Source organism: Homo sapiens, chromosome 21 (genome assembly GCF_000001405.40).
Source record: "Homo sapiens chromosome 21, GRCh38.p14 Primary Assembly".
Taxonomy (NCBI): Eukaryota; Metazoa; Chordata; class Mammalia; order Primates; family Hominidae; genus Homo; species Homo sapiens.
In genome coordinates, this window is record NC_000021.9 from 42,855,101 (window position 1) to 42,876,990 (window position 21,890).

Below are 21,890 nucleotides of genomic sequence, written 5' to 3' on the forward strand. Positions count from 1 at the left end.
GCCTGGGCAAGAGTGGGACTCCATCTCAAAAAAAAAAAAAAAATTTTTTTTAAATGAAGGAAACTTCCAGGAACCTGAGTCCACGTGAAGCATGAAGGAAAAGGCCTGGTCCTCTCTTACACAGCTGCCTGGCAGGGGGCAGAGGCCACACCACACAGTTCTCTAGGAAATGGAACAGACCGTTTGGCGGGAAACTTTGCCAAGGCCTGGGCTTTCAGGGTGTCATGAGATTGCTCCAAGCTGGCCGGAGAATGCTGGAGTGGGCCTGGCCCCACCCCTGCCCCACCTGGCTGGCAGACCCACAAAGGTGCATGCTCAAGCACCTCCATTCCTTCCACTTCAGAGCAGGATTAGAGGCCTTCCTGTACATTAACTGTTTGCATGCAACAGGGAGACAAATTATTTCCCACTGACATGACGAGCCACCTTCAGAATTTGAAATACGAGATTTCCCTCACACAGGAGGAAGTCTGGCATTGAGAGCAAACGTTTCCAACGGCGAAGTGACTTTTCCACTCAAGTCAGGCGACTGCCGGTGTCTACAAGCACTCAGTCGCCCAGGAGTGAACAGAAGCAGCTACCTGGGGGGCCTGGGGGTCCACCAGCTCCTGCAGACTGGCCAGGTGACAGCAGTGCAGCTGGCGGCCGCTCCTGTACTCCCAGAGCCTCAGGGTGCCGTCCTGCACAAACCAAACACACAGGTTAGCACATGGTTGTGGGGCTTCCGTCAGGTAGGGTGACAGAGAGGACAGCTGCGTGTGGTCGGGGTTCCACTCCGTGACAGCCATGCCACCCACCCTCAGGAATTAAAGGCTCTCTGCTCTGACTGTGTAAATCGCTCATGCAAATCATCAAGGACAACGGTGGGGAACGGAAGGTGACCGATTCCCTGTTTCTCGAGTGCCAATATGCCCAGGCAGATGACAAAGCCAATGAGGCAGATCCTAGCAAAATAAGCCAAGGCCGCTAGATGGCCAGGTTGTCATCCGCCAGGAGGCCAGACCACATCTGCTGTGCCCGGGCCGGGCATAGACACGGGCATGCACACAGGTCTGCGCAGACACTTCAGCAATCATGCATTCCCACGGGGAGACACGTGTGGGCTCATGAGCTCGTGGCCACTGCTCCACTTCACTAAGAATGACAGGAAGGACATGGCCATCAGCAACCGTCCCACGACAACTGGTACAACCCTTCAGGAAGCCGACACAGGAACCAAGAGGCTCCACGCTCTAAAACCATCATCAATGGAAAAAAGCGTTTCTCTTTTTTTTCTTGGTTTTATCTGTTGTTATTTTTTTGTTGTTTAATTGAAATGGGGTCTATTCCACACTGCCCACTGCACTGCAGTGGCTATTCACAGGCTTGCTCCTGGCTCACTGCAGCCTCTGACTCCCAGGCCCAGGCAATCCTCCCGCCTCAGCCTCCGAGTAGCTGGGACTACAGGCATGAGCCACCATACCTGGCTTAAAAAAAATTCATTACAGCACTAATTCAGTGGAGAGAAATAAATCAATACTCATTAAATCTAATGAGAGAGTGTCTGTGCACTATTTGTAAGTATTTTTAAATGACTAAATGAAAAAGATGAAAAGTAAATACCCCAAACAGCTAACAGTAGATGCATATCCTCTGGGTGCCGAGGTAAGAGTGGATGTATGAATGCACACACACACGCATGCACATACACACGCACACACACACACCTTTCTACAAATGTGGCAGATAAACATGGAGACCAACACACACATCTACAGGCATTTCACTCACCCCCAAACCTCTCTACGAAGACAAGAAAAAGATGTTTAATAACCATGAACCCACTAAGACAAAGACAACAGGCAAGAAGAGAAGGCAGCCGCGGAGAGACAGCAAGGAAACCTGGGGGCTGGAGGCCAGGGAACAAATGCACCAGCCACAGAGAAGCCCGAGAGGTGCCAGGACCTGCCAAAGACCAAACCGGGCCAGGCAGCCTGAAGACCAAGGTGGTGAGGGGAGCTGTCAAATGTCTTTACAAAGAGAAACGGGACCTCCCTGATGCATCCTCAGCCCCAAACTCCAGGCCAGCAGAAGGCTCTGGGGAAACGGAGCCGAGGGGCCCCTGTCTCGGGGATGCCAAATACTCACTGAGAAGAGAGTCACCTAGCCCCTTCGCACTCACCTCCCAGAGCCCCAGGGGACAGACCTGGGCAAGAGTGAAGGCCGGGACACTGACCACCCAGAAGAGACCGACTGACCCACACGTTCTACGGAGTCCACAGGCAAGGGGCTGCTGCCCACAGACACCTGCTCTGAAGCCCCTCGGGCCCCACCCTGGGTGCACACACCCAGCCTCTGAGGCCGGCTGGTGCTGACTCCCATCACACACAGGCAGATGGCATCGCCAGACATCCGAGGAAAACCTCCAATGAGAAAGGCAGACAACACACTCCAGAGAAGGCAATCAAACACAAGGCCAGGAAGAAATTGAAGAAAGAAAAGTCCACGCTCATCTCAGTGAGATAAGAGACACGTGCACTATCCGAGAATGGGTGGCTGCAAAAAAGAACGTGCCGAGGGCAAGAAAGAACTAAAGATTCAAAATAATCCTAATAAAACTCAAGTCTCCACAGAAGGCTGGAAAGTAAAGTTGAGGCAATCTCCCAAGAAGTAAGACTATTCCTAAAGGAGTAGAAATACGAGATTGAACAGGAAAGAAAAAAAAACAGAGAATTATGGCCCAGCATGGTGGCTCTCGCCTATAATCCCAGTGGGCGGAAGTGGGTGGATCGCTTGAGGTCAAAAGTTTGAGACCAGCCTGGCCAAGCTGGCAAAACCCCATCACTACAAAAGTATAAAAAATTAGCGGGGCATGGTGGTGTGTGCCTGTAATACTAGCTACTCGGGAGGCCTGAGGTGGGAGGATTGCTTGAGCCCGGGAGGCAGAGGCTGCAGTGAACCGAGATCACGCCACTGCACTCCAGACTGGGAGACAGAGCAAGACTCTGTCTCAAAAAAAATAAGAATCAGAGCATTAAAGTGGTTCAACTAACACAAGCTTTAGAAAAAGTGAGCAAGAGGCAGGGGTAGAGAACAGAAGGTAATCATGTAAGAAAATGCCCCAGGTCGGAGGACACTGAAAATCACTGGCTGTGTGGCCAACTCCCCTCTGGGGCCCACCAAGTCACCTCAGTGGCTTTCACATCGCACACTGGAGCAGAGAAAGTCCTCCAGGCAGAAGGAGAGCCCAGCTGTCACCCCACGGACCCACGGCAGACAGCTGCAGGTTTCTACAGGAAGCGCGCGGGAAAACCCACAGGAGCAACCAGCTGGAGAGCACACTGTGCAAGGCCTCCCAAGCTCCGAGGGAAACCGTTTCAACCAGGACTTCTACGCCAAACTAACAACCAGGCCTCAAAGGAGATTAAAGGTATTTCCAGAAAAGCAAAGTCAGAAAACACTGACCCTCCTCGCGCCTTTTGGCAGCTACCAGATGACGTGTTCCACTCAAACAAAGCAGTAAGCCATGAGGGACAGATGGGGCCTGGGGAGGCTTCTCTGCCCGTGGAAGATTTTCCTCATATTATGAAAAAGACTGGAAGGTGCACAACAAACCGCTGACGAAGCCTGACCCTGACCCTGACCCTCTGGAGATTATGGCCACACTTTTCTTCTTCTCTCAGGTCGCGTGGCTGTGTGTTAATTTGAAGAGCAGGAACAGGAGGCTGTGAATGAAGCCCAATCAGAGAAGAAACATAGAAGCGGCCAGAAGGTCCATCAGCCATCCTGCCACACCACACAAAGGACCAACACAGACAACACAGGGAAGGACAGCGAAGAGGAAGGTGGTGGTGTGCGGGCAACAATTCCGCAAGAGGACAGAATCAGACCCTGTGAGGAATCCAAGGCCCTCACTTTGGCAAAATCACTAACAATCCTTCTAACACATTCCTTAGAGAAAACACGTCTCTCATCACTAAACTGTAAGGCTTCCAGGACCCAATTGCTGGGACACAGAAGCTGTACCCAACAAGCAAAAATGCACTGTGGTAACCCGGGTGCGGGCGCTCGAGCCTGTGGTCCCAGCTACTTGGGAGGCCAAGGAGGCAGATCGCTTGAGCCCAGGAGTTTGAAACCAGCCTGAAAAATGTAGCAACACCCCATCTTAAAAAAAAAGAAAGAAAGAAAAAAAGGAAAGAAAAGGAAAAAAAATGCAGCCCGTAATGGGATGGACTGAGACCCCTCCAAGAGTCAGAGAAGCCCCCGTCTACTGTTTCTACCTGAGATCCTGATCCCCGATACCATCGTAGATGCAGCAGCCGCCCTCAGAAGGGAGCCTTCCACACACCCGTGCTAGTTCATCCCACAGGCGAACACACACGCACCTACGCACACCCCACACGCAGTCCTGAGTGAGCGGCCGCAGGCGGGGAGCGAGCCGCAGGCAGCTCTAAGATCTAGTGGACAGCCACAGCCAGCCAGGGGCCAGCGATCCACAGGGGCCAGGTCCAGGAGGCGCCCACCCCACCCTCCCTGCAGGCTCAAGAATCCAGAGGTGAGTGACGCTGGGCAGAACACTTACCCCAGAGGAGGACAGAAGCAGCCCGGGCTGAGTTGGCACCACGGAGATACGGCTCACAAACCTGTGAGGGCGAGAGAGAGCGGCAGAGTCAGCGAGCCCAGCGCCCGCAGGGACCGGGAGGCCTGGGGAGGCCGCCTGTTCATCTAAGGAAGAGAAGCCTCTGCCCTAAACCCCCTGATCCAATAAAAACAGCCAACATGGGAAGTAGCTGTTAACCCTAACCTGGTTAGGGTTAACCAGGTGGAGGCCCCTGGACGCAGTCGGGGAGGTGAGTGAGGTCATTCCTGGGTCCCCAACAGCACAGCAACCTCTAACCCAGGCCGCTCCTCAGCCATGCCTGCCAGAGACCCAAGCGCCTCTGTGCCCCTCTGCAGCCCCCTCTGCAGCAGCTCTGCTCAGCGGCACCTCTACAGGCCCCCCAGCACCCACCCTGGCCCAAGGCACCTGCACTGTGATGAAAGGAGCCTTGGGGGAGACTCAAAGACACGGGGGAGACTCAAAGACACAGCACACAGGGAGGAGGGTGGAGGGAGGAGGGCAGCCAAGCCCACAGGTTCCTATCAGGGTCCTGACGGCCCCTCAGCAACAACTCTGAGTGACCTGGCCAGACAGCTGTCTCTGCTGAGCCCGGCCCAGTCCTCCTGTGAGGGGTTGGCCTGCAAGCACAGGACTCAAAGTCACAGGGACCCTCCCATCAGAACAGCCATGAAGAATAACCCAAGCAGCCCAGCTCGCCTGGAAACCCATCTTGGCTCGGGCACCTACAAGGGTGACAAGGCCCCTTTTCTTCCCACTCTAACACAGTGGCCTCAAGCAATCCCTCATGCACGGGGTTCCCGGGGACCCTGGAATGGGGTGGCCCGTGAGCCTCACTCCATCTCCACCAGTCATGGCCTCTGCTACCTTGGGCTAGCCATCGCGTGAGCCGGGCCCGGTCCCGCAGCCACCGCCCTGCACGGCACCACAGCACCAACAGCAGCCCACAGCCCAGGACAGATAGGGCACAGGACGCCCCGTGCAGAGGGCACGAGTGGCCTCACAGTTCTCAACGGTTTGAAAGGCCGGGAAACCAGTTTCCAGGGGTCTGAAACAAAATCTCAAAACATAATTCGTCCAATCACTGCAGTTATCTACTGAGCACCTACTCATGCCAGGCACCACGCTGAGGGCTGCACACACCAACAGGCCCAACAGACCCACAGAACCACTCAGACGCAGCGGGAGACGGCCAGTGAACCAACTGATACTGCAATGTCAGCAAAGGGCACAGAACAGCACATCCAGCAGAAACACACCTCCAGCCACACACAGGGGCCACGGGGCTTTGTTTTCAATTTGCCAGCCACTATGTTGAAAAGTAAACGGGCAGGCCGGGCACGGTGGCTCACGCCTGTAATCCCAGCACTGTGGGAGGCCGAGGCGGGCGAATCATGAGGTCAGGAGATCAAGACCAGCCTGGCCAACATAGTGAACCCTCGTCTCTACTAAAAATACAAAAAAAAATTAGCCGGGCGTGGTGGCAGGGGCCTGTAGTCCCAGCTACTTGGGAGGCTGAGGCAGGAGAATCGCTTGAACCTGGAAGGCAGAGGTTGCAGTGAGCCAAGATCACGCCACTGCACTCCAGCCTGGGCGACACAGCTAAGAAAGAGAAAAGAAAGGAAGGGAGGGGAAGGGTGGGGTGGGGAGGGGGGAAGGAAGGGAGGGAGGGAGGGAGCAGTTGAAGTTAATTTTAATACTATGTTTTTACTCAATACTTCTAAGTGATGAAGCATTTCCCTAGAAGGGTGAGAAGCGTGTTCCCGTCAGCAGAAACCTCCCTCACGTGCCTGGCGAGGCAAGGGAGCTGCAGAGACCCCAGCGAGAGATGGTGAAGGGGAGGGGCCGGGGGGCTGCAGGCCAGAGAACTCCAGAGCTGGATCACTAGCGAACTAAATGCAAGTCAGAAGAAGCTATCCTGAGGCACACACCAGTGACTGGCCTTCTTAAACAGGAAATGTTTGGATCAAAACCAGGAAAACACAGGCAACCTCGGCACTGAATTTCCTCCCTCCAATTTCTTCCACTGCCTCAAATAATATATTTTAAAACATTTCAGCCAATTACACTAAGCGTTTTTCCTTTGTGTAAATTCTAATGAGCTTTTTGTGTGAGACAGGAGCGGGCATTCAGAAACACCTCCACATGGGTCCTGGCAGAGTGTGCTGCCACGAGAGACGCCGCCACCTGGCTGCAGAGGCCGCTTAATTCTTGGACAGCTGAAATCACTAAAGTTCATCCTCGCCCCCAACACCCCCACCACCCACCAGCGAACAACTCCCGGGCATGGTGCAGGGGTCTCCACACTGAGACAGGGGTTTCCCGGAAACAAGCCCTTCCTGTTCGGTCAGGCCCAATGCCAAGTTACTGGCACAGACTCCGGGTAACAGCGCAGAGTGAACCCCACCCTTTCAGGGCTTCTGCAGGCAGCACCACGGCGCCTGCAGTGACCAAACACCAAGCACGGGGGCTGCTGTCACCCGCGTGGGGCCTCGCCAGCTACAACGGCACCTGCTGAGCCGCAAGCTGACGCTGTTTTCAAACAGACCTTCTTTCTGCTGGAGGGGCAGGAAGGGGCACTCACTCTGTGTGCCCCAAGCAGAAGGACTCGATGCTATGGGGCGCCGCGGCCCAGCTGACTCGGATCTTCTCGTCCCGGTCGGCAGTGAGGATGAAGCGGTCATCAGGACTCACAGCCTGCATCACCAGGGGCCAGAAAAGAAAAAGCCGCTCACCTGAGTCTTCCCGAATCAAGTCCCTCATGGAAGAAGGCAGGGAAGCTGCAGCCTGGCCGCCAAGAGGATGAGGCCTTCGAGGACAGACCAGCGTGGCTCCTCCCCTCCTCCCGTCCCTACGTCTAATTGGTGGCCCTCATTCTCCCTCCCCAGAGGGTCCCTGGCCACCTCTAGCCCTCACTCCTCAGTGCTAGAGCAGGCTTCTGGGGTGGGGCAGTGCCACCCCTGCCTGCCTGTCTCCCGCACCTTGGCAAATCCAGGCCCCACGCCCATTTCCACCCGCCACAGGCCTGCTGCACCCTCCTGCCCAACACTGGGTTGCCTTCCTTGCCTTCCTGTCACACATGTCCCCACACCCATCTGTCACCAAGTCCCAGTGAGGTTCCCTTTGATACCCCACACTCGCCATTGTTCCTGACTGTCCCTGTGTGCGTCCAATCCCAGCTCCACCACCCGGGCTGTGGGCCTGCGCCCTCTGGGGCTCCAGGTGTGTGTCTGTGACACACGGGGCACACAGAGTGGGGTGACAGGGGCTGCTGGGAGCAGTGCTGAGGTGATGCTCCTACAGCACCTGGCACAGCTCCCGGCCAAGGAGGCGGAGCCAGAGGCTCGTGGCTGCACCTGCTCCTCCCACACCTTCACTTCCAACCTGGGGCCACCTACTGACCACCTCCTGTCTCACTTGCCTTCTTCATTCTCCCTGCTGTCTGCTCCACCTTCCTAAATCCTGTTCCCACCACTCCCCTGCTCCCAAATCTGCAGAGGGCTGTCCCTGCTACGGGGGAGCCCCATTCTCCCCACCAAACGCTGGGGCACAGACCGGGCAGACGTTGATTCAGCCTGTACCCCACATACCATGTCCCCCACGTACTGCGTCTAACAGCATGGACAGGTGCCTGAGCCTTGACAGGGTAGACATTGACTCAGCGTATGCCCCACGTGCCACGTCCCCCATGTACCGTGTCCCACACCTGCCATGTCCCCCACCTACCACGTCCCCCACCTACCACATCTAACAGCATAGACAGGTGCCCCAGCTCTAGACGGCCACACCCGTGTGGCTCCAGCACCGAAAAGGAGTAGACGTCTCCAGACTTGTCGGCCACCAAGACCTTCTCCTCCGAGGCTATGAAAGTCAGGGCTGTACACCTCCTTGCCACGGTCCTAGAAGGCCAGAAAGACACCCCCATTAGCTTCCAGGAGCAGCGCAGGGTCCTCGACAGCCTGGCAGGCCACGTGGGCGGTGGCAGGCACCGGTACCTGGCCATATGCTCTGTTTTCCAGCTGCTGAAGGTGGTGCCAAAAAAATTAAGCAATGCTAACAACTGGAACAAAGCCAATGCCTTCGACAAATTTACTTTCACAACGTTTTTCTTTAAGAAAATTGCTCCTAGCCGGGCGCAGTGGCTCACACCTGTAATCCCAGCACTTTGGGAGGCCGAGGTGGGTGGATCACAAGGTCAGGAGATTGAGACCATTCTGGCTAACACGGTGAAAACCCCGTCTCTACTAAAAATACAAAAAATTAGCCAGGCGTGGTGGCGGGCGCCTGTAGTCCCAGCTACTCGGGAGGCTGAGGCGGGAGAATGGCGTGAACCCGGGAGGCGGAGCTTGCAGTGAGCCGAGATCCCGCCACCGCACTCCAGCCTGGGGCGACAGAGCGAGACTCCGTCTCAAAAAAAAAAAAAAAAAAAAAAAGAAAAGAATAGAAAATTGCTCCTGATGGTGGGATCTAGGTGGTGGATAAATGCGTGACAAAATCCTCAACTTTCCTGTGTGTTTGAAAACTGTCATCAAGAAATGGGGGAATGGTTCCTTAACCCCAGAGTCTTCATCATGCATTGAGGGAGACAACGGCCCTCTCCATAAACGCTGAGTGTGCTGGGGGCCACTGTCAAGGACAAAGGCAGGCACCAGTCTCCAGGGCCCCCCAGCCTTGCCGCTCCCCTGACCCACACTGACCCCTGCTGCTCGTTCTGCTGCGTCGAACCAGGAGCCTCAGACAGAGAGCCGTGCCCCATGCCCTGCAGAGGGATGGAGGGGCCTGGCCACCCTCAGGGCAGGACCCAGCCCAGGGCAGCAGTGAGGCAGCACCCTACCCTCCTCGGGAGGAAGCTCGGTTATCCAGCGTGTGAGAGGCCTGCGCTCCCCCCAGTCCACATCCACATCAGCACATCCATGAATCCAACCCCGACCCAGAGTCATGGATGCACCAGAGTTCCGGATGCAGCACGTTTGCACACTGCTTCAGCAAGAACCAAAGTCACAGTTCGCTCCCTCTCCTTCGCCAGGGCTCAGGGCTACACTACTTCCTGGGGCTCTCATTTCCACATCATTTCTACTGGAATCGTCCCGTATTTATGTCCTCTCCACAAGGCAGGGACCCATATGTTCTATTTTACATAGATATGAGTTGTAGCACAGCTTCCCACACACGCAGTTAGCCACAGGGCCTCACTACAGAACAGCAGCCAGCCCTGCTTCCCCACCCCCAGGGCTGTGGCAGCACACACTGCCCAATACGCAGCCAACACCAGGCAGACAAGTACAGGGCGCCCGGCCCACTGCGGCTGGAAATTGAGATGGAAGCTTCAGGAACGCTGTCCTCAATGAGGCCCCTATGTTTCTCTCAGGGGCAGAGGGACTAAAAGACAGAAAAGGGCAGGCAGGACCTTTGGGCCACACCCCAGGCTGGAAGCAGCATCCCTCCTCCTCCCTCACAGCTGTGCAGCAGAGCTGCAGAAGGGAGGCAGAAGGGAAGTATAACGGGGTAAACACAGAGAAAACAAGGACAAAGAAAGATAATTACGCTCTGGGGCAAGATTAATCAGAATTCTCAGGGTGCACTGCAATTTAAACAAACAGCCCTGCACTGCACCAGCGACACAGCCCCCAATGTCCGATGGGCTCATTAAGCAGCTGCCACAAACACGACCATGGTGGCACAGAGGAGCAGCCCAAGAGGATGCCACAGGGAGGGGGGATGGACTTGGACTCACAGGGCGCTCATCCCCCCAGCCTGGCTGGAAGGCGTGTGGCACAGATGGCCCCCGACACCGTGCCTCCTGCCCAGCTCAGCAGAGGGCACTGCTCCGCGTCCCTTTGTCCTGCCCCAGCCGGAGGCTCCCAGCCTCTCCAGCTGGGCTTATCCTGGCACCGATTCTAGGACGCAGCTGAGCCTTACTCGCAGGCTTGGGTGCTAGGATCCAAGGGAGGTCACAGAATGGGGCAGGTCACTGGACCAATGGCAAGCCGGCCTGTCACCCTAGCTGAGGCACAACCCCGCCCGCCCTCCAACCCCCAGCCTGTGCAGGGTCTCGGGTCTCGGGTCTCAGCACTCCCTCCACAGTCACTGGGTTCAGGGCCCAGAGACCAGCAGAACCTAGCAAGTAACCACCCATCTCCACACCCTCCGTTCTCTGCCAGGAGTCGAGTGGCTGAGCCCTGAACTCCCAGACTGAGTTGGCACTGCCCCAAGCCCCCCTCCAGAGAGCCGCCTGGGCAGCCCCAACAGGGCACTGAGGACACCAGGCACCATCCACACCCACACTCCAGCAGCCAGGTGCTCTCTCTCCACCCCCTGGGCAGAGCGAATCAGATGGTTCTCTGGCTCTGCCTTTCCCACGTGCTGCCGTGGCTCTCACAGTTGTTTTCGGAAACACAGACTCCACTGGGAGGATTTCTCCCTCATAAACACACATGTCAAAATCAATGTATCACTCGTCACCCTGTGTCCTCATCTTCGGCTTGGAAAACCTGGCCTCAGTCCCTCGGGCCAAGAGTCTCCTGACTGCCCAGGTGGCAGGCCCTCCGTCCCTTGCGGTTCTAAACTGCTACCTGGGAAAGAATCGTTGCTGCCCACAACTTCCATCTTGGCTACGCCTCAAAACCCTTCAACAGGAAGCTTCCCAGCAGCAGCACAGTAACAAAGCAACCATGGGACAGAGCCTAGGGTCTCGCCCAGCTCAGGGGCATCCTGCAGCGGTGCAGGGCCTCAGTGAAATGCAGAGAGGCTAGGAGTACATGGAACCTCTAAAACTGAATGGAGGTGGATGTGCTAAGCGTGGGCGGTTTTCTGGGGAGCGGGTGCATCAGATCTAAGAGTCTGAGATCTAAGAGGCATAAAAAGCCTCCAGGTGTGGGGAGCAGCCCCCATGTTTGCGGACCAGCCACAGGGTGCTGCCTGCCAGCTCAGCATGGTTCCACTCACCCTAGTCCTCTCCTTGAAAGCAGCTCCTGATAAAACTCACCCTATGCCCCTCTCCCTGCCCCACTCGCATCCCCCAAACCTACTCCTCCTGCCACAATAATCCCCTCCAATTTCTCACTGAGAGAAAGGGTAACAATTTCACTCCACCCGATGCTGAAAAGTTCACAAACCCACAATTCTAAAGGAATTTTAAAAAGATTATTGAGGAATTTGCCAAGAGATGTTGAAAGTGGCAGTAACTTCACAACTGTACCCACTGTCCTGCAGTTCAACTAGAGAAAGGGGAGGCAGCAAGGCGTGCCCTACACCAAGGTCAGGAGAAACCCCAAGCCACACCATCGAGGCGGGATTTTGTAATCTGCTGCCTGGACTGCATCAAATCACATGGTCCATCTTCCACACCACCTAAGGCAAACATTTCCTACACGAAGTTATACTGCTGACATCACTTTCAAAACCAAGAGCAGGCCGGGCGCAGTGGCTCACGCCTCTAATCCTAGAGCTTTGGGAAGCCAAGGTGGGCAGATCACCTGAGGTCAGGAGTTCAAGACCAGCCTGGCCAACATGGCAAAACCCCATCTCTACTAAAAATATAAAAATTAGTCAGGCGTGGTGGCTCATTCCTATAATCCCAGCTACTCAGGAGGCTGAGGCAGGAGAATCGCTTGAACCCAGGAGGTGGAGGTTGCAGTGAGCCAAGACCGTGCCACTGCACTCCAGCCTGGGTGACAAAGAGACACTCCGCTCCACCAAAAAAAAAAAAAAAAAAAAGTGAACGCACAGGTAAAGGGGCACTGCCAAGAGCCAAACACTGCTCTTTGCTCACATGCTGCAGGCTGCCCATCCCTCATCCCAAATGCTCGGGACGAAAAGTGCTTTGCACTTCAGATTTGTTCAGGTTTTGGAATATTTGCAAATACTTACTGGCTCAGCATCCCTAACCTAAAAATCCAAAATCCGAAACATTCCAGTGAGCATTTCCTTTGAGCATCTTCCCTATGCTCACAAAATTTCGGATTTTGGAGGATTGTGAATTTCAGATTAGGGGTACTTAAACTAGATGCACTGCCCACTCTTGGACTTGTGCTTTTTTTTTTCTTTGTAGATACGAGATCTCACTATGTTGAGGCCAGACTGGCCTCGAACTGCTGGCCTCAAGGGATCCTCTCACCTTGGCCCCTCAAAATGCTGGGATTACAGGCATGAGCCACCATGCCAGCCTCCCAGAGTTTTACCAGGTGCTTCCATAAAGAGAATCACACCAGCACACAACCTTCAAAAGACGAGTCAACACAGCAAGACATCTCCCTCTTGGCAAAGCACCTACAACCAAGGATGAAGAGGCCCCCCACCCGCCCAGCCTGCAGCGGTATCTGCATCCACCACGAGTCCCAACTCATGGAGCTCTCAACCTCAAATGACCTCCTCCAAGAAGCCAACTGCCACAGGCAACCACATTGAGTGGAGAGAATTCTAGATTCCTCCCTCCTCTGGGCCATGCACGATGCCAGGAGCAGAGGCCCCGTCCCTCTGGAGGAGTCAGAACCCCTGGAGGAGCCCTGGGCCTCCGCGCTTCCATCAGGGTGAAGAAGCTCCACTGTTAGGAACCAGGACACAGCGGGCAGGCAGACTGGACATCCCCTCTCTCCCAAGTTCAAAGTGAGACACTACCTCTGGACAGCAAGCTCACATTGAAGTAAGGTGACATTCCACCCACGTCTCCATCTTTCTGGCAACCTCAGAACTTCACAGCCGCAGCACTGTCCAGACTTGAAAGAGTCAGCGTCTTCAAGACACGAGTGAGCTCCCTGCCCGCTCACCCCCACCACCAGCCAGGCCTACGGCACACACGGCCAGACCCAGCCTCCCCTACCCTCTGCAGGCAGTGGCTACTCCTCAAATGGTGTCTGGTACCAGACATCAAAAGCCTTGGCACAGGGTACACCCTCTGCATAGTGAAGAATTAACCTTGCCTTTGGCCTCATCTCCAAGAGTAGGGGCCTTGGGCCCCACAGGCAGCCTAAGTACGTGATTTAGGGCAGGGGCCTGGGGCCACAAGGTGTCCACTCCACCTCTGGAGGGGCTGGGAACTAAAAGTCAGCCACCCCCACAGCATGTGATCAACCCCAAGGAAACCGCTGGACACCAAGGCTTGGGAAGCTTCGCCGTGTCTGTTGTCACACATTGGTGCCAGTAAACCCACACTGTCCACACCTCTGCTGTCCCAGTTGCTCTGGCTCAAACTTCCCGAAGTTTAAAGGCAGGAAGAGGTACAAGGAAACACTAGCATTTGAGCAGTGGAACAGTGCAAACAATGTAACAACTCAGCTACAGGGAATGACACAGTGTTGTCAACACTGCCCTGGCGGGGGGGAACAGGCTATAGGCTAGCACATGCCACCACTACAGTGTAACACATGCAAATCCTGTAATCCATCTGCAGAGAGGAGGAGGAGGGCCTGGCCCCAGTGCTCATCCCATACTCTGGCTCTGGGTGGTGAAATTCAGGGTGGTTTTTGTTCTTGCTCTCATTTTGTACTTCTCAGTGGTTTCCAATTTTCTGTACGGACCAAAACCAAAGGATAAAAAAGGCAAAAGGTAGCATGAGAGGACACCGAACTGTACTCCAGGGGAAGCAGACAAGTGAGAATTCACTCCCAACTTCTACAACCCCACTCACCATAGCTGAACGGGAACCCACACACTCCACTGTTGTCTAAGTAACTGGATCACGTCTGAGATCCGTGTACACATCGGCACGTGGATCTCAGCTCTGCACTTGTTCTTGACCCCAGGGCTTTGAAGTTTTGTCAGCTAAGGCAAGGGTATTGGAAAATGCTAATCCAGTCTCAGTGGTTACCGGTGCAGCTCACCTTACACACCTGTGCCACAGAAAGGCCGTGTGAGAAAGGCCATGTTGAGAGCCACACTTTGGGAGATGGGCTTATTTTGTAAAACTAAAGTGTCCAAATATAAAGAGCTCCTACAAATAAACAACACCCCAATGGAAAAACATAGGATATGGAAAAAAAAAAAGTTTACAAAACACAAATGATTCTTAAGTATATAAAGAGTTGCTCTTCTGGCCAGGCGCCAGTGGCTCACACCTGTAATCCCGGCACCCTGGGAAGCCGATGTGGGTGGATCACCTGAGGTCAGGAGTTCAAGACCAGCCTGGCCAACATTGTGAAACCCCATCTCTACTAAAAAAATAGAAAAAATTAGCCGGTCGTGGTGGTGCATGCCTGTAATCCCAGCTACTCGGGAGGCTGAGGCAGGAGAATCACTTGAACCCAGGAGGCGGAGGTTGCAGTGAGCCTAGATCGTGCCATTGCCCTCCAGCCTGGGCAACAACAGCGAAACTCCATCTCAAAAAAAAAAAAAAATGCTGACCACCAGTAGAGGGATAGTCAAGAAAACTGCTGTAGCTGGGCTCAGTGGCTCACGCCTGTAATCCCAACATTTTGGGAGGCCAAGGTCAGCGGATCACCTGAGGTCATGAGTTCAAGACCGGCCTGGCCAAAATGGCAAAACCCCATCTCTACTAAAAAGACAAAAATTAACTGGGCATGGTGGTAAGTGCCTGTAATCTCAGCTGCTCGGGAGGCGGAGGCAGAAGAATCGCTTGAACCCGGGAGGTGGAGGTTGCAGTGAGCCGGGATTGGGCCACTGCACTCCAGCCTGGGTGACAGAGCGAGACTCTGTCTCAAAACAAAGAAAGAAAGAAATCACAGAGCATATGGCCTAGCCCAGATGAAATGAATCACAAAGTCTGTGCTTTCACAAGACACCCAAGCGGCTCTTGTGCACTATGCCTATGCCAAAGCTCAGCCAGGGCCTTTACTTTAGGAAAAGAATTACCAGGCCAGGCGCAGTGGCTCACTCCTGTAATCCTAGCACTTTGGGGGACTGAGACAGGTACATCACCTTGAGGTCAGAGTTCGAAACCAGCCTGGCCAACATGGTGAAACCCCTTCTCTACTAAAAATACAAAAAATTAGCCAGACGTGGTGGCACATGCTTGTAATCCCAGCTACTTGGGAGGTTGAGGCAGGAGAATTGCTTGAACCTGGGAGGCAGAGGTTGCAGTGAGCTGAGATCACGCCATTGCACTCCAGCCTGGGAAACAAGAGTGAAACTCCGTCTCAAATTAAAAAAAAAAATTACCATCAGATTCCCTTAGATCATTTCATTTTTAACTTTTGGGAGTCCAAGCCCCCTTTGAGAATCTCATGTGAATTATGAAAGCTCTCTACAGCAGCCAGTGTCCGAAAGGCAAAATGAACTGTTATGTGCTTAACTGAATCCTCCAAACCACAACTCCTATGTTGAAGCCCTGACCTACCTAGGACCTCAGAATGTAACTGTATTTGGATAGGACCTTTACAGAGGTGAAACAGAGGTCATTGGGATAGCCCTGACCCCATCTGACCAGTGTCCTTTCAGGAACAGGAAATGAGGACATAGACACAAAAGGACGACTCTGTGAGGACATAGGGAGAAGACGCCATCAGCAAGCCAAGGAGAGAGGCCTCAGAGGAACCAGCCCTGTCCTGCCAGCCCCTTGATCTTGGTTTTCCAGCCCCTACAACTGTGAGAAAATTGTTATTTAAGGCCCCTAGTCTGTGGTATCTTGTTGGGCAGCCCAAGCAGACTAGGACAACTACTATCTTCTTTCAACACTGAGAGGTGAAAACCTGTCCATCCCTCCTTCCCACAGGTTGTCCAAGAAACCCAAAGTCAAGGCCAACCTACTAGAAAGCCCCTGCCACCTGCAGAGATCCCTGTGGAGGGGCTCAGAGCAGGACACCTCAAGGCCACCTTGAGGCATTCACCCTGAATCCTGAAAACACTTCCCATCTTCTCTATTCTAGGTCCTAAATGACTTACTCATGTGGCTATCTTAGCAAGAGGATGCCGTTCACAGGCCTTTCAAGATAAAGATGACGCGATCCACAGCAGTCAGGTGGAAGCAGCCATTTATTATCAGTTATAACTCAGACATGTAGGGACATGCATTTAAAAGTCATTTTCCTACTGGGAAACCATCACTGCCTATGGGAAAGGAGCCAGAAGGTGGGTAAGAAGGGAGACTGACGCATACTCTTTGGTTTAATTTTGTTGTGTTTTAAGTTTTTAAACCATGTGCATCTATTACCTACCTGATACACAAAGACACAAAAACATATTGTAAATCACATATACATAAAAACATATATAGTAAAACCCGTATACACAAAAACACATAGAGTAGAAATGATGCAGCGTTTCAGGGCTTTCTTTTTAACCTGACTGGAAGAGAGGACAGAGCAGGCATTCATTGCTTTTGATGCCACCTAGAATTTGGCTTTTTTTTTTTGAGACGGGGTTTTGCTCTTCTCACCCAGGCTGGAGTGCAACGGCATGATCTCGGCTCACTGCAACCTCCGCCTCCCAGGTTCGGGAGATTCTCCTGCCTCAGCCTCCCGAGTAGCTGGAACTACAGGCACGCACCACCATGCCCAGCTAATTTTGTATTTTTAGTAGAGACGGGGTTTTGCCATGTGGGCCAGGCTAGTCTCGAACTCCTAATCTCAGGTGATCCGATCCGCCTGCCTCGGCCTCCCAAAGTGCTAGGATTACAGGTGGGAGCCACTGCACCCAGCTGAATTTGGGTTTTTACTCTTCTCTTTGAAAATAAGATGAGGCTGGGAGCGGTGGGTCATGCCTGTAATCCCAGCACTTTGGGAGGCTGAGGCGGGTGGATCACCTGAGATCAGGAGTTGGAGACCAGCCTGGCCAATGTGGTGAAACTCTGTCTCCAGCAAAAAATACAAAAATTAGTCAGGCATGGTGGTGTGCACCTATAGTCCCAGCTACTCGAGAGGCTGAGATGGGAGAATTGCTTGAAACTGGGAGGCGGAGGCTGTAGTGAGCCAAGATCACACCACCGCACTCCAGCCTGGGTGACAGAATGAGACCCTTCTCCAAAAAAAAAAAAAAAAAAGATGAAATAAAAATCTTAAAGACAGGCCGGGTGTAGTGGCTCACACTTGTAATCCCAGCAGTTTGGGAGGCCGAGGCCAGCGGATCACCTGAGGTCAGGAGTTCAAGAGCTGGCCTGGCTAACATGGTGAAATCCCATCTCTACTAAAAATACAAAAAATTAGCCGGGCATGGTGGCAAGTGCCTGTAATCCCAGCTACTGGAGAAGCTGAGGCAGGAGAATCACTTGAAGCCGGGAGGTCGAGGTTGCGATGAGCAAAGATCGCGCCATTGCACTCCAGCCTGGGCAACAAAAGCAAAACTCCGTCTCAAAAAAATAAAAAAGGAGGAATAGGGAAGGCAGAAGAACCTTTCCGGACTTTGCTAAGTAAGAGGGCAAGGCATAGCGATATCTCCCGTTCTTGCCAGAGTTACTGGCCTCCCCATCCCCACGGATCCACTCCCCATCCACTCTTCAGATACTCAGACATATGTGCACTAAACCCACCTAGCTTAATACTATGGTACAGACCCCTCAACAGACCCCAAATCCCTATCACTCTCCAGGGCAGGCTCACAGCCTTGTTCCTGCTAATCACAAGGACAGAGGACTGCCCTGGAAAACAGGGGCACCAACACTGTAGGTGGAGGGACCAGCAGCAGGGCCCGGCTCTGTCTTCCGAGCCCACTGATCGGAGTCTGCTATCTAACTGTTCACCACCCAGCGTGGGACAGAACAGCACCCCTGCACCCTCCCAGAACTGCCGTGAGGATCAGATCAGCCAACACACATGTGGCACTGAAAGTGGTGTCTGGCACTGAACTGCGGCTCCGTGTCAACCACTTATCACCCTTATCACCATGTTATGGTCACTATTGCTACAGGCATGCAAGGATAAGGTGTGCATTCGACATCTTAAGAATCCAGCGTTAGCATCTCATACCTGACACTCAGACATTGCCATGGTTTTGTACGGAAAAGAATCAGACGCTTACTGTCATCGGTTAAAGCAAAATAGCTGCCAGACTTGGAGAAGGTGGACGCCAGAATCGCACCGCTCCCCTGGTCCAAGGGCGCGTCCTCCCTGAGGAAGAGAGGAGGAAGACGGTTAAGCTTCACCTAAGGAAATAAGGCTGCATTCCTTGTTGGCCAGCGTGGTAATTTCTAACATGGGAGGAGGTAGAAACTGTTAAGGGGATCACGTAGCCAAAATACAGACATATTAAAGGGACATGGGGAAGTTCAAAACAGCTCTAATTTTATCAGCATGAAGCCTAACTAAACAGAAAATCTCCCAGCATACATGCCAGAACCCAGAGAGCTAAGCTGGAAGAACCCTCAATGACACATGGCCCTCTTCCTCATGGGCAAGGACTAACCCAAGGCTAGAGGCAGGGATAAACTCACATTAACAATACTAATAACAGGCCAGGTATGGTAGCTCAGACCTATAATCTCAGCACTTTGGTGTTGCGAGAAGTCAGGGACCCCAAACGGAGGGACCAGCTGAAGCCATGGCAGAAGAATGTGGATTGTGAAGATTTCATGGACATTTATTAGTTCCCCAAATTAATACTTTTATAATTTCTTATGCCTGTCTTTACTGCAATCCCTAAACATAAATTGTGAAGATTTCATAGACACTTATCACTTCCCCAGTCAATACCCTTGTGATTTCCTATGCCTGTCTTTACTTTAATCTCTTAATCCTGTCAGCCGAGGAGGATGTATGTCACCTCGGGACCCTGTGATAATTGCGTTGACTGCACAAATTGTAGAGCATGTGTGTTTGAACAATATGAAATCTGGGCACCTTGAAAAAGAACAGGATAACAGCAATGTTCAGGGAACAAGAGAGATAACCTTAAACTCTGACCGCTGGTGAGCCAGGCGGAACAGAGCCATATTTCTCTTCCTTCAAAAGCAAATGGGAGATATATAGCTGAATTCTTTTTCTCAGCAAGGAACATCCCTGAGAAAGAGAATGCGCCCCTGAGGGTGGGCCTCTGAAATGGCCCCCTTGGGTGTGGCCATCTTCTGGTCGAGACTGTAGGGATGAAATAAGCCCCAGTCTCCCATAGCGCTCCCAGGCTTACTAGGATGAGGAGATTCCCGCCTAATAAATTTTGGTCAGACCGGTTACTCTCAAACCCTGTCTCCTGATAAGATGTTATCAATGACAGTGGTGCCCGAAACTTATTAGCAATTTTAATTTTGCCCCGGTCCTGTGGTCCTGCGATCTCGCCCTGCCTCCATTTGCCTCGTGATATTCTATTACCTTGTGAAGCATGTGATCTCTGTGACCCACACCTATTCGTACACTCCCTCCCCTTCTGAAAATCCCTAATAAAAACTTGCTGGTTTTACGGCTCAGGAGGCATCACGGAACCTACCGACATGTGATGTCTCCCCCGGACGCCCAGCTTTAAAATTTCTCTCTTTTGTACTCTGTCCCTTTATTTCTCAAACCGGCCGACGCTTAGGGAAAATTGAAAAGAACCTACGTGAAATATCGGGGGTGAATTTTGCCCAATATCTGGCTGAATTTCCCCCAATACTTTGGGAGGACAAGGCGAGAGGATCGCTTGAGCTCAGGAGTTCAAGACCAGCCTGGGTAACATGGCGAAACCACGTCTCTACAAAAAACTACAAAAATTAGGCAGCCCTGGCGCGGTGCCTCACACCTGTAATCCCAGCACTTTGGGAGGCCAAGGCAGGTGGATCACGAGGTCAGGAGATCGAGACCATCCTGGCCAACATGGTAAAACCTCGTCTCTACTAAAAATACAAAAAAAAAATTAGCCGGGCATGGTGGTGCGTGCCTGTAGTCCCAGCTACTCAGGAGGCTGAGTCAGGAGAACCACTTAAACCAGGGAGGTGGAGGTTGCAGTGAGCCAAGATAGCGCCACTGCACTCCAGCCTGGCAACAGGGCAAGACTCCATCTCAAAAAAAAATTAGGTATGTTGGCATGTGCCTGTAGTCCCAGGTACTTAGGGGGATGAGGCGGGAGATCACCTGAACCCAGGAGGTCGAGGCTGCAGGGAGTTATGTTTGTGCAACTGCACTCCAACCGGGGTAACAGAGAGACCCTGTCTCAAAAAATAATAATAACGATAAAACAAACTGAGCCACAATACCAATGATAACTAAAGAAAGCCACCATACGAAACACTCACATGCTCTACTTTTATATCTCAATTAGCTGAAGTTAACTTCCTACACCCGCCTTCAACCATTACTTCAAGGAGCCAGTAAGATGTGATTACTGACAGAAACTAAAAGTATTTAGAAAAGTCCTAACACTGTGCTTTTTTTTTTTTTTTTTTTGAGACGGAGTCTTGCTGTGTCACCCAGGTTGGAGAGTGCGGTGGCGCAACCTCGGCCGACTGCAACCTCCGCCTCCTAGGTTCAAGTGATTCTCCCACCTCAGCCTCCCAAGTAGCTGGGACTACAGGCGCCCACCAGCATGCCTGGCTATTTTTAGTAGAGATGGAGTTTCATCACATTGGCAAGGCTGGCTTTGAACTTCTGACCTCAGTCAGCACCCTGGCTTCCCAAAGTGCTGAGATTATAGGCATGAGCCACCGCACCCGGCACTAACACTGTACTCTTTTTTTTTTTGGGAGACAGAGTCTTGCTCTATTCCCCAGGCTGGAGTGCAATGCCGCAATCTCAGCTCTCTGCAACCTCCGCCTCCCAGGTTCAAGTGATTCTTGTGCCTCAGCCTCCCAAGTAGACGGGATTACAGGTGCCTGCCACCACGCCCAGCTAACTTTTTTATTTTTAGTAGAGACAGGGTTTCGCCATGTTGGCCAGGATGGTCTGGAAATTCTGACCTCAGGTGATCCACCCACCTTGGCCTCCCAAAGTGCTGGGATTACAGGCATAAGCCACCGTGCTCAGCCAACAATGTACTCTTAATGCCTAACCTAAAAGTTACTTTTACATGTCTCTCCTGAGGTGCTACTTATCTGCACCACTGTGTGACAGAAGCTAAGAATTCAGCAAGTAGGACAACAATTGCTTCTTAGACCCTCTGGTCCCATTATCGAACCATTAAAGCAGGCCCTGAAAAAGCTTCCCCACATCTCACCCTTTATTTTCTTGTGACTTCTTTTCTGCAGCACTGCAGTCATAGATGAAGAGGCTGTCATCATCACTAAAGAGAAATAACAATAATTTTAAAAGGAGTTATCATTAGAGAGAAATAACAAATTTTTTTTTTTTGAGACGGAGTTTCGCTCTCGTTGTCCAGGCTCCAGTACAATGGCACGATCTTGGCTCACCGCAACCTCCGCCTCCCAGGTTCAAACGATTCTCCTGCCTCAGCCTCCCCAGTAGCTGAGATTACAGGCATGCACCAGCACTCCCAGCTAATTTTT

The 21,890-nt window shown here is 52.7% G+C and overlaps 1 protein-coding gene across 12 annotated transcripts in view, besides 2 other annotated features; it reads right to left on the minus strand.

Annotated features, from left to right (window-relative positions):
- WDR4 (WDR4 tRNA N7-guanosine methyltransferase non-catalytic subunit) overlaps positions 1-21,890 on the minus strand; it is a 49,905-nt gene that overhangs the window by 12,007 nt on the left and 16,008 nt on the right. For 7 of the 12 annotated variants that reach the window (NR_048535.1, NM_033661.5, XM_011529433.2 and 4 more), the window contains 6 exon segments: positions 582-680; positions 4,562-4,622; positions 7,182-7,294; positions 8,340-8,496; positions 18,451-18,591; positions 21,602-21,667. Coding sequence is in view for 11 of the 12 variants with exons in the window: in NM_033661.5 (NP_387510.1) it covers positions 582-680; positions 4,562-4,622; positions 7,182-7,294; positions 8,340-8,496; positions 18,451-18,591; positions 21,602-21,667 (637 nt within the window). In the remaining variant the exon portion in view is untranslated. 12 annotated transcript variants of the gene reach the window in all.
- Positions 5,061-5,619: an enhancer, noted in NCBI's record as "H3K27ac-H3K4me1 hESC enhancer chr21:44280271-44280829 (GRCh37/hg19 assembly coordinates)". NCBI's record gives its function as "activates a minimal SCP1, AML or CMV promoter by ChIP-STARR-seq in naive H9 embryonic stem cells {active_cell/tissue: H9 hESC(naive)}" and the evidence as "EXISTENCE:reporter gene assay evidence [ECO:0000049][PMID:30033119]".
- Positions 10,707-11,402: an enhancer, noted in NCBI's record as "H3K4me1 hESC enhancer chr21:44285917-44286612 (GRCh37/hg19 assembly coordinates)". NCBI's record gives its function as "activates a minimal SCP1, AML or CMV promoter by ChIP-STARR-seq in primed H9 embryonic stem cells {active_cell/tissue: H9 hESC(primed)}" and the evidence as "EXISTENCE:reporter gene assay evidence [ECO:0000049][PMID:30033119]".